Source organism: Homo sapiens, chromosome 6, assembly GCF_000001405.40.
Source record: "Homo sapiens chromosome 6, GRCh38.p14 Primary Assembly".
Taxonomy (NCBI): domain Eukaryota; kingdom Metazoa; phylum Chordata; class Mammalia; order Primates; family Hominidae; genus Homo; species Homo sapiens.
The window spans coordinates 76,027,907-76,040,511 of record NC_000006.12 but is presented as its reverse complement, the minus strand read 5'-3'; the positions used below and the strand labels follow the sequence as shown (position 1 = coordinate 76,040,511).

The window sequence follows — 12,605 nt, the reverse complement described above, 5'->3', positions numbered from 1 at the left end:
TAGAGAAAAGACAGTGACATGAGTAAATTACTAATTTCGAGTGTGCCTACACATTGATCAGATAATGACCCTGGTAAATTCCATATCGTTTGCTCAGGGATGGACGTACATACAGTATTTGCATCACACTGAATATGAATGCAACTATTCCTATTTTCACATAACTTCTAATTCTTTACAACATTCACAAATAGGATTCACTGGAAGTATTTGGAATACCCTATTTATTGCTGCAACAAAATTTTTAGCTCTGAATTTTTATTCTCAGCTCTTTATTCTTGATTAGGTTGCCTCTTTCATTCTTGTTTCCCTGGATGAAACAAACCATTGTTTTTCTCCCCACAGCAATGACAGTCCATTATCTTTATGGCTGCCCCTAGGTAATATGAAATTTTACTATTCATCAGCATGGGTTTCTTAAGTCGAACAAATTGGTTCACAAAGAAACAAGAAATAAGACCCAGCTACAAAGCGGTTTTCCTCTGACAGAGAGACCCACTTACTGTTCTTGTTGCTACTTTTACAAAATTATCCATTGACATCTTTCAAACTTAGGAGAGAAAGCACTCATATTCCCAAATCAAATGGAACATTGAATTATTTCATTTCCCAGGGCTTAAAAGCAACGCAGTGAAATGTTCTGAGCTTTGTGGTAGAATCATAAATGTGCTTATCTCAAAGCCCAAATGCAAAAGAGGCAAGTGTGTTTCTGCTAATCTACAGGCTGAACTCTGTGCCCCAGCCAAATTTCCTGCTATACAGATGCCTCCCTTCAGATCCCCGTCACCTCACCTGTGTCTCTCCCTCTATTTCCCTCCCTCTCTGCCTCCCATACCCAACATCAAAAGCTAGGCCTTGGCCAGGTGGGTGGCTCTCACTTGTAATCCCAGCACTTTGTGAGACCGAGGTAGGCAGATCACCTGAGGTCAGGAGTTCAAGACCAGCCTGGCCAATATGGTGAAACCCTGTCTCTACTAAAAATACAAAAATTAGCTGGGCATGGTGGCGCACGCCTGTAATCCCAGCAACTCAGGAGGCTGAGGCAGGAGAATCGCTCAAACCCAGGAGGCGGAGGTTGCAGTGAGCCAAGATCACGTCACTGCACTCCATCCTGGGCAACATAGTGAGACTCCGTCCCAAAAAAAAAAAAAAAAACAGCTAGATCTTTCTTTCACATTTAAGTGTGCCTTAGAGAAGGTTAAAGATGGATAGGGTCCTAGTTCTTTCTACTCCATGTTGTCTGCAGATCAACAGCATCACCACCACCTGGAAACTTGTTAGAAATGCAGAATCATACATCCCACCCCAGACCTACTGTCAGAATCTGCATTTTAACAAGTTCCCCAGGTAAAATTCATTTGTACTTTAAAGTTCTAGAAGCACTAATCTAGAGAACATCTAGCCAACACTCCCGTTGTACGGATAAGAAAACTGAGATCTGATGAAGTAAAATGGCATGTTCAGGGGAACAGCTGGCAGCAGAACGGGGGTAGAACTCAGTGTCCTGATTCCCATTTCAGTGTGTTATTTCACCCTCTAATGTGTGCACAACCCTGTACTGTGCATTTTCACATACCATTGGTCTAACAATACTAATTGCGAATAACTGTCTGCAGGCCAGGACTTCCAATTACAGACTGCCATGCCTGGCCTCCAGGGTATGTGCTCCCTGGGGTTCTTCCTGCATCATCAAATGACTTAGGATATGACCTTTGACAGAGAAGCTGATGTTCTGTGATCAGATTTCAGGCATTGGCCGGCAACTGTGGGAAGACTGGGGTGGGAGTGAGGCCAAGGTGCTGGATTTCTCTAGAATCACTGTGGCAGTCCCTCCCAGCAGGTTCAAAGGAGGATAGTACAGAACAGGTAAATCAAAGGTTTACAAAAATCCAATTTTGAGAAGTTTTCAGGTCCCTCCCAGCCCTGAGGTCCTTTGATGCCTCAATTTTCAAGGGTTTTTTTGATACTTCCCCAGTAAGGATGGGGGACTATCCTGGTGGGTAAGTGGGCTGGTGATTCCAATCATGGAAAGAGTCTATGCCTCCTGGCTTGTGAGAAGCTTCCAAGAGAAAAATAACATCAGAGGAGCCACAAAAAAAGAAAGCCTGCCCCTCAGAAAGAGTCTGAGATTTCATCCTTAACATTATGATTCCCATAAACTACAATGTCACAGGGAGATAATTTTTCAAGCAACTTCAGACATTATGCTCTAGAAAGAAGATTCTTTCAGGGCCCTTATGGAAGGTTTTGAGTAGTTCTGTGTCCTGTGGTAGGAGAAAGAACATCAGGGAAAGGAGCAGAACTAGGAAGATGCACACAACAAAAATAGTACCTCTTATTTGACTGCTCAACCTCAGTCCCCGCAGCCATATGACAGGGACTGCCTGCAGAAATCTCTGCATAACTGATGATGCATCCTCAGGCTACATAGCACCCAGGAAAATGAACTTCTGTATACATCTGTCTGCATCAGTTATGATGCCTGCCAGTCTGAGTTTGGGCTCAACTGGGAGCAGCTAGGCTCAACGAAGAACACAATTAGTTCAAGACTTAAATTGGAATGAAATAAAAGCAAGTCTTAATCGGAGACCAAAAGCAACACACTCAAGGTTGTGCCTAACTTGTAAACAGAAGAGATTGTCACATAATATCTTCCCCGATGTTTCACACACAGATATTGTCCATGAAAGTCACCAACACTTAGATATTGTCCATGAAAGTCACCAAAGACAGTGCTAGTTTATTTTATGTATTGTTGTATCTCTGACACTTATACTGGTTTTGAATTGAAGTAGCCACAAAATAACATCCCCAGAGAGAGTGTGGAATATGTAAGAAAGAAGGCTAGCAAAGGCAGCTGGTTTGCTTAGACTGGACATACAACTGTTAGGGTCTGGACAAATCTGAAAACATCCAAGTGTTGTTTCCTTCTTGTATATTATGTAGACTATTGACCAGAGATGAAGGGTCAGAGACGGCTTGCTGGTTTGTATCAGAAAAGGCATTAAAACTTCTTGATCCTTGCCTGGCAGTAGACAGTTCACAAAAATGAATTCTGCAAGGTGAGGTATTCCATTGCTTCCCACGTGTTGACACCCTGTTATTTCCCCCAGTGTGAGAAACCAGATGGCACATTTGAGGTGGTCAGGACTGCACCCTCTCCTGTCTTTGTGGGTTACTCATTAAAAGATCAATTACCTTGAAGGTTCTGGTCAGGTTGCTGCTGGTAAATGACCTGAGCTTCTGTTGATCTGGAATTTTCTTCTTAAAACAGAAAGCTAAGAGAAATCCAGACATGGAATAAGTGGGGAGGAAGGAATAACATATAGGCATAAGAGTCTCCAGATTGGTCTCGTCTCACCCTATTCCTCCCCACGGTCCTTTTTCTCAGCACAGCAGTGTTTCTTTAAGTGTTTCTTCAGTAAGTCAGATGGTGTCAGCCTCTGCCCTAAAGGCTCCAATTGTTTCCATTGCTCTAGAGTTAAAAATCAACATATTACAAATGCTTATAGGGAGGCTTCCAACATTTTTTGCTCTCTTAATCCCCTAAAACAATTTTTAGCTATATAATCCCCTCGCATGCTTTTCCATTGACATCTAGTTTTTTGTCAAGTTTAAATTAATAAATAGGATGTAATTTTTGGTGAGTTGTAAATATTGATATTTAAAATAAAACTAGAATTGGATCTTTCTCATGTATCTAGTAGAATCTACCATAGCCACTCAATATTTACCATCAAATTCTTTTAACAGATACGTGAGCAAATTCTTCTTAACAGTAGGAAATGTCACATGGTTACTTTTTCTCCACACATTCACATTTCCATTCTACTTTTCTCCTCAGAGTCTCATTTTAATGTAATTTATGTTTATCCTTGAAAATTTGTTATTGATTGCTCTAAAATACTTTTTTGTAACAAAAATATGAACATAAATTAAAATTACGTTGTTTCTTGTGACTATAAGATTTATATGTAAAAAGAAATTTCTTCTGGATTCAGTTGCATTTATCATTTTAAATATATAATCAATTAAAACTAAACACATATAGTTTTAGTTTTTATTGATGGATGGATATAGAGTGAGATTCAAGTTTTGTGGGTGTTAATGTTTGTAAATACAAAATTGCAAATGCAATATTCTAAACAGGGCTTTGGAAGAAATCAGTGTTAAAAAAGGATCTGTAGCTTATGCTTCCTTAGCTTCTGCCTCTGGATCAAAGTGATTGCTTTGGTTTTGCTCCTCTAATTGTTCATATACAATTAGTCGTTATTTATATTGTGCATTGCTAAAATGAGACAAAGTTTAACATCAATTTTATCCCTATTATTTTACTTAGTTTCAGTTAGGTGTTGAGAAAACTTTAACATCAATTTTATCCCTATTATTTTACTTAGTTTCAGTTAGGTGTTGAGAAAACTTCTTTACATAAATAAGTAGATGGGAACAGATGGAGTTTTGTTACAGCACTGTTCTTATTCTTTAAATTCCTTTGTCATTATATGCCAATAATCACATCATGATCTGTCATCATTATTTTTAATGATCTATCAATCAGCTGTCAACCTATTAGGACTCCTTTTAATTTGTTGAAAGCAAAGAATCATAAATCACCTAGACTGCCAAAATGTGTGTTGTCCCTCAACTCAGTTCACTCCCTTTCTCAAACTCAGTATTGTTACTGCAAATTGCTCCTTGGTGTGATAACCTAGAGGCACCGTGCCACAATAAGAATAGGGATGGATGAATGGGGAAAGGATTGTGATCAAAAGGGAAGTACTAACAAAGAGGTGTGTCTTTAGAGAGACCAATTTTAGGAAAGCCTGCACAGGAAAATGGACACCTGGAAATTGATTCTCTTTAAATATTGTGTGCCTGCTCATCACTTGGAAAGTCTTCAAGGACAGCCAGGGGACCTGCACTCCAGTTTGGAGACTGCTGGTCTGCAAAACCCTACACAATCTGTGTTCACCTTGCCACATTTTTCTTTTTTTTTTTTTTTTTTTTTTTTTGAGACGGAGTTTTGCTCTTGTTGCCCAGGCTGGAGTGCAATGGCGCGATCTCGGCTCACCGCAACCTCCGCCTCCCAGGTTCAAGCAATTCTCCTGCCTCAGCCCCCCAAGTAGCTGGGACTACAGGCATGCACCAACACGCCCAGCTAATTTTGTATTTTTAGTAGAGACGAGCTTTCTCCATGTTGAGGCTGGTCTTGAACTCCTGACCTCAGGTGATCCGCCCACCTCAGCCTCCCAAAGTGCTGGGATTACAGGCATTAGCCACCACGCCTGGCCCTCGCCACATCTTTCTATCTTCATCCTCTATTACTCTCAACCTTGCTCTGGCCACAGTGACATCCTCCCTGCTCCTTCAGTGCCCCTAGCACTCCACAAACTGGGAGACTTTACTTTTCCCAAATGGCTCAAAAGTCACCTTTATAGTGAGGTCTTCCTCAACCACTCTATTTTAAACTGCAGTTTTGCACACACACACACACGCACACACACACACACACGCACATAATATTCCCTATTTTCTTGCTTTCCTTTTTCTCCATAGCATATAGTAAGTACTCAATAAATATTTGTTAAATGAATTAACTTTTAGAGACTGTAAATTAGTGTGTCGACATAAGCCATGAAATAATTTTCCATGTTATTAGACTTTGCTTGGGATTGGGTACGGGGACCCTCTTAGGGCATGGCCATTAATGACTCTGTATTACAGTGTGTCAGGAAGCAGTATGGGAAGCATATCGGATCTTTCTGGATCGCATCCCTGACACAGGGGAATATCAGGACTGGGTCAGCATCTGCCAGCAGGAGACCTTCTGCCTCTTTGACATTGGAAAAAACTTCAGCAATTCCCAGGAGCACCTGGATCTTCTCCAGCAGGTGAGCCTAAACACCACATGGTTATTTGGAACACTGCACGAACAGTTCCCAGGCTCCAGCCCCTAGGCCTTTTGAATTGGTTTCCACAACGTAAGGGTTAATTGAAGAAGTGCTTGGAGGTATCTGATTAGGCCAATAGAAATTTTATTCTTGCAAAATAATATGGTACAGTCAGGTTGAAGTGTAGGTTAAGGGAGAAGGGAATGAAAATTGACTTTAACTCTTCGGTTGGCATTATCTCCTGGTAAAATTACATTTTATCTTTATCTTTTTGCAGAGAATAAAACAGAGAAGTTTCCCTGACAGGCAAGTACCCAAAATAGAGTGTGTGTGTGTGTGCTTTTGAATTTAAAAAGATCATATAATGGAGTGAAACTAAGCTATTCTACCTGTAGGATTTTATGTCAGCCACTAAGAGCTGTGTAGATTATTCTGACAGACAATTCCTGCATATAATGTACTGAAGATAAATCAGTACATAAAACAAAAATAAATAGACCTTATAGATTTAGATAGACATTTGCATTGTTTGCACATAAAATGAATTTATTGCTATGTGATATGTATCTAATGTGCACCTTCACTTATAAGAAATAGAGAAATTAAACTAGTTTGATTTTTAGAATTTATGGTAAACTATTAGTTACATCAAGAAAATATTTAATACAATCAAAGAACAACTTGAATTTTGAACTCTCATTTGGTATTCTGTGAAGTGTTAATAACTCTGAAACTAAATTACTAAAGCTCTAAGTTATATCCTCAACAAGAACTGAATATCAAATAAGAAAATCAAAAAACAAAATAAAGAGAAAAGGAAAACTTCATTAGATTAAATGATTAAAGAAGAGAGATGTTGTCAAACTCTAAACTCACAAATTACATACATCTTATGACATTTAGAAGTCTAAATCTGAAGATAATACTACAAAGAGAGACGCAAATTTGGCCATATGAATTACTGACAATACTTTACAATGCCTTACACATTTATCCCTTTGTTTCTATTCCCTTTGCCACTAACCTAGTCTAGGACCTTATTAATATACTCTGTGAAAAATGTCTAATCTGATCTCCCTGACAGATTTCCTTGCTTCTAACCTCTTCTCCTCAACTTGCACAACTGCTGTTAGATTTATGTCTGAAATATTCCTTTTATTACATTGAGTCTTGTTCAATGGCTTTCAAAAGATTCCTACATCTTCCTCTTGCCATTCTGAATATCCACTCCCAACCTTTTCCAGCCCACCTCCGTGTCTGTGTGCAGGAGGCTGAGTGGTAAGAACTGCATCAGTGGCATCCCTTGCCTCTGGCTTCTGGTTATGGCCAGCCAGTGAGGAGGAAGAAATCAGAGAGAGAAGAGAATGCTGGCAGAAAATTTACACACACACCTGCAGAGTCTTTAAGGCCTATTGGCCTTCTTCAGCTTCAGCTCAGTTCCTGCCTGACTGTTCTTTCCACAGGGCCTTCTCTGTGTCTGGCTCCTGGTCTCCTCTCACCCCTTCTGGCCCCAAGGATATTTTTAGCACCCCACTGTTACTGAACCTCTGGGGTACTACACTCTCCCTTGTGGTTGCTCTTATACTCTTCACACAACTTCATAAATAATCCCTTTAGTGAACTTTGCACAAGTTACCCTACTATGAGAGAGTCATCTGTTTCTTGCTAGAACTTTCACTGAGGCAGAAGCCAAACTAACTAATCCAGACCTTTCACCTCCTGACCTTTCCAACTTGGCCCCCATTATTATTATCCATGATTCCGCGGCTGCCACCATGCCTCTTCCTCACTGCATATCGACCACACCCTACTCACTCGGATTCTGACCCTAGCCTTTCCCTCTTGCTTGGAAGAATCTGCCTTTTCCACTCCATCTATCCAAATTCTACTCTCTTTGAAGCTCCAGGTGGAATCCCACCTCACCAGGATGTCTTAACAGACTATTTGAGTTTGCAGCAATCTCTTCCTGCTTTGAACTTTGTACTCTGTTTGGTACTTGTATTTTTATTGAACAGTCTCTTGCTTTCTCCAGTTTTCCTGTAGGAGTATAAACTCCTCAAGGTCAGGAACTGTTTCATACTTTCCCACCTACTATACAGAACTGAGCAAAATCCTCATATATTTTGTTAATCAATTATGTCTATCAAGCCACTCTTTTATAGATTTTAAAAAGATATTGCCAGGAGAAATAATGTGACTAAGGAAAATCTTAGTACTAGAGTATTACCTTTGCTCACAAAACACAGACATATTGATTCTTCTCATTTAAATATAGGATAATACTTTACTGATTCTTCCATTTTCAAAAAAATACAAAGAAAGCAACGCAGGGTCCATCCATAAGAAAAAAAAATCAACAGAATGTACCAAACCTTGACAGACAACCATTAAAAATTATAAGAAACAATTACCCAAGCCAGAAAGAAAAGGAAATAGAAGCATTTCATCTACTCCTGTGCCTGCCAGCATTTCTGGAGAGAAAGAAAGGAACATGAAACAAATATTTTACATTAGCTATGTTTACCAATTTGTTTTCAAAAAAGAAAGAAAAGAAATTATCTTTTACTTTAAACCTTTCCAAGAAGACAAAACAAAATTTTCTCACCTGACTAACCCGTAAGTCTGCCAGTTTCAAATGACTTTGAAATAAAAGCCAGTGGAAGAACTGAGTAGCTCAGCTTCCCAAATTACAGATCCTCGGTGATGGTATAGATTGCCAGTTTAGTGGCAGAATGACATCTTTTAGTAAAGGACAAGAAAACGTCATCCCACAGAGTCCTGCACAAAATGGACTGTTGACTTGTAACTAATGCAATAGCCAGGATTTTACTAACTATTCTTCTTGGTTACTTTTTTTTACAGCAAGACAGGGAAGGAGATGAAAGTGATATTAACAAGAAGGAGATCTTACTATAAACAAAGATCTGTAAAGTAAAAAACAAACTGTCTAGGCTATAAGTGCTATAATATTTGATATAACGAGAGTTGTTAAATATGGTCTACATAAAAACCATTTATTAAGTACATAGTATAATACCAGAAAAAAATAACAAGAATAGCTAATTTCAAATTCCACTATAGCAGCAAAATTTTTATCTGGCCTGTGTGGACCACTGTAGTCATCTGTGTTTACAACTAACATCTGTTCTGATTGGCCAGAGCCTGTGGCAGGCTGATTAATAATATTTTGTATATTACACATTAACAATATGGCAGAATTGGGTGTGGCAGAAATATGTACATGATACTATTGGCTATGACTAATTCTAGATAACTGTACTGTAAAACAACAGAACACCTAGCCATTACCCTTGGCCTTCCCATCATCATGAGCCACAGAAAATTAGATCAAATATAATGGTCAACTGCTACTATATTATACTAACACAGACACAATGCTTTGGGACCTACTTGCTTATAGTAACAAACCTTTCAGTGAGTTTTAGAAGATATTACTACCACTGTTGCAGGACTTTTCCTTAGTTCAGCTAAAATTGGGGTCCTTGTCCGTCCCACAGCCATGAAAATTTAGGCTTGCAGATGGTTTGAAGGCTGAGTAAGGCAGGGTTTTATTGGGTGGAAAGGAAGAAAAGGGGGAAGCAGGGACACTCACCTAACTAGACTGCTTGCCACCCACAGCTTGAATCCCAGGTTCCGCACCAAACGAGGATGGGCCAGGCTCCTCCTCGCTGCAAATGTCATGAACTTCCAGAGGCTCTACCCCAGTGGACAGGCTGGATGGAGTTTTTCCAGGGACCCCCTCCCCACTTGGCTGTCTCATTCCCCACTCTAAAGAAGTACATCTAACAGTTGTTGGATTAAGAATAAAGACAAAGACCAATCTTAACTGCTTCCTGCTGACAGGGGCTGCTGATTTGGGGAAAAGCAGTCAGAGCTTCCTCAGAGGCCTATTTAAGGATTCCCAGCAGAAGGGGCCATTGTCCGAGGCTCTGGTTGCATGACTGTTTGGAGTCTGATGGCCCTTTTTGCCAGCATGTTGGGCTTCTGGGTTCCTTTCCCCTGAGCCCAATCCTAAGACAACCAGTTTAAGGCTTGGGAAATTAACTCTTTCCAGTTTGGAGGATGCATCTCAGGGGAGCGTATTACCTATCCGTGAAGAGAGAACAGAGGAGGAGAAAGGAGAAAAAGGCATTTTTTAAAGGATTCCCAGGGGTTCAGGATGCATTTGAAAGGGGTACAGACTGAAGATGAATGGCTACCCATCTAGAAAGAGGGGAGCAAGCATCTCTGGTTTCCTTCTCTTCCTAACATATGCCCAAGATACATGAGAGAGAGAATGAAAAGCATCCTCTTTCCCTCCTCCATCCTTGCATCCCCGAATCCCAGTGACCTTGTCAGGTCCCACCATGAGTGCCAAAGCAGCTTACACCCATCAAGCAGGGAGGGCCTTAGAGAATAAGAATGATCTGCTCTCCCTTATGTCTCTATCCCTGCTACTGTCAGTAGCCTTGGAATTCCCTAGACCTCATTTATACCATAGATATTAACATGCCCTTTATCCATGAAACAGGAAGCTTGGGGTTGGCTTAATCGACAGGAATCAGCCATGCTCACCTGCACTGTGCCTTTTAACCTCCGTTGTAATTTGCCTCTGGATACCTCAGATCCAGTTTTCCTTCCTAGGGCTTTTACCTAAAGCTTGGAATTGAGTTTGGGACAAAAATATGTCTCGGGGGGTTACATGGACTCCTTATCAAAAGCCAAATGCTAAGGTGAAACTGTGGAAGTGAGTCCTCCAACAAGGGAGAGAAAAGGATGTCTTGTGACACACCAAGATAACTGGTAGCTATAGTTATGCTTGCTAGAATTTAGGTGCATGGTGCTTGGCTTTGGTTAGTTCCCTTGGTCTTTACTTCCCCAAAAATGAAACCTCCAGGTGATGGGCACCCTATTTATTCCCTATTTATTCCATCACCTGGCAGGATTTGCAGGATAATTGCTCAGAACCAGAATATTGATCCAGATTTCTACATTACCCATCCCTCTTGTTCTTTCTGAGCTGCAGCCAGAGATTGCTGGTTGGTTCACAGGAACAAGCAGGGTTAGTCTAAAATATAGGCAAAATCTTAAAAACAACTAATGAGTTTAGAATTTAATGACAAATGTATGATAAGTTTTGAAACATAATTTCCCTCTCTCCAGTCCTCATTTTTGTTAAAAACAAAATCATAATAGGACTGAGTTGTTTGCAAATAGACTTTGGTTTTAAACTTGGCCTAATTATTTGCATAAAGTGCAGCAAGAATAATTATTTCTACATAAGCCTTTTGGATTGGCTTTGATGGAAGTCTGTTCCACGAGGACTCTCAGGTGAGACCTTTTAATGCTGATCCCAGCTCTGGGTTTGTATCCTCAAATGCCTGTGAGTTGGGTGATCCCCTCCTCTTAAGGTCCAAAGATAAACTTGGAGCTCCTGGACCTGTTAGAAAGTGACATTCTTTACTGACCATAGGTCAAGAACCCTGTACAGGGACTGCATAGACAAGGGTATTAGGCCAGTTTCCCCACTGAGTTTTATTAGTTCTGTAAGTTGAGATTGACTCCTTAAAGGGAAGCATACACTTTCAGTCAAACCCTTGATAAAATACCCAATTTTTCCAATTGTGTCTTGTTGCAAAAGAAAAATGGATTCTTATTGCACTGATGCAAACAACTATATTGCCGTAAGTTAAGAATACTCACAGATAGTTTCCAAATTCGAAAGGAACCAGGCAGAGAGAAACAAGCATGCTCCAAATTTTCACCCCAGGAGTATACCTTACTTAACTTTTTTTTTTTCTTGAGACGGAGTCTCGCTCTGTCACCCAGGCTGGAGTGCAGTGGCACGATCTTGGCTCACTGCAAGTTCTGCCTCCCAGGTTCAAGCCTCAGCCTCCTGAGTAGCTGGGACTACAGGCACCCACCACCATGCCTGGCTGATTTTTTCTATTTTTTAGTAGAGACGGGGTTTCATCATGTTAGCCAGGATGATCTCAATCTCCTGACCTTGTGATCCACCCGCCTCGGCCTCCCAAAGTGCTGGGATTACAGGCGTGAGCCACCGTGTCCGGCCCTTACTTGTTAAAGGCTATAAATAGTTCAAAATAAGTTTCCTTGACTCTGAAAAATAAAACAAGGATCAGCAGTATTCCAAGAAAAAGTCAAAAGTTGCTTCAGCTTTCTGAGTTCTGTCCATTTAATTAACTCTTGTTTGGTTTGATATTCGTGAGCATTTCAGCTCCTCATGAGTCCTGTACATTTTCCTTTATTCCAATGTTACAATCTCCAAAGTTAACAGAATCATGTATTTGCGAGCACCTGTTAAAGTCCTGCAGCTTATTATAAACTATCTTTTGAAAAGGATGAAAACAAGACAGCAATTGTCTGTGAATAGCAAAACGTCCAGTGTAGTTACAGTTAGGAACACAATTGACAAATTTGGTTATCTCCATGGTTTACAATAACTTAACAACATTAATTATGATTGATAGCATACATTTAGATATTAGAATTTTTGAAATCCCATAGAATTTTGGAACATAGATTAGCATTATTTACCAAGATATGAACTAAAGAAGAGTGAACATGATTTTGACAATCCCAGGTACCTAAATATGTTGAATAATCCTGCTTACCTCTTTTCTGGACATTCTAGGGGCTCTCTGGACTATCCAAAAAGCCAGGTGTCAGGAAGGACAATTTTGAAACTGAAGT

At 40.2% G+C, this 12,605-nt stretch overlaps 1 protein-coding gene across 2 annotated transcripts in view; it reads left to right on the top strand.

The window, feature by feature from the left end:
* IMPG1 (interphotoreceptor matrix proteoglycan 1) overlaps positions 1-12,605 on the top strand; it is a 151,549-nt gene that overhangs the window by 32,151 nt on the left and 106,793 nt on the right. For both annotated transcript variants that reach the window (NM_001282368.2, NM_001563.4), the window contains 2 exons: positions 5,725-5,891; positions 6,169-6,197. In NM_001282368.2, coding sequence (NP_001269297.1) covers positions 5,725-5,891; positions 6,169-6,197 — 196 coding nt within the window. The remainder of the gene's footprint in view (positions 1-5,724; positions 5,892-6,168; positions 6,198-12,605) is intronic.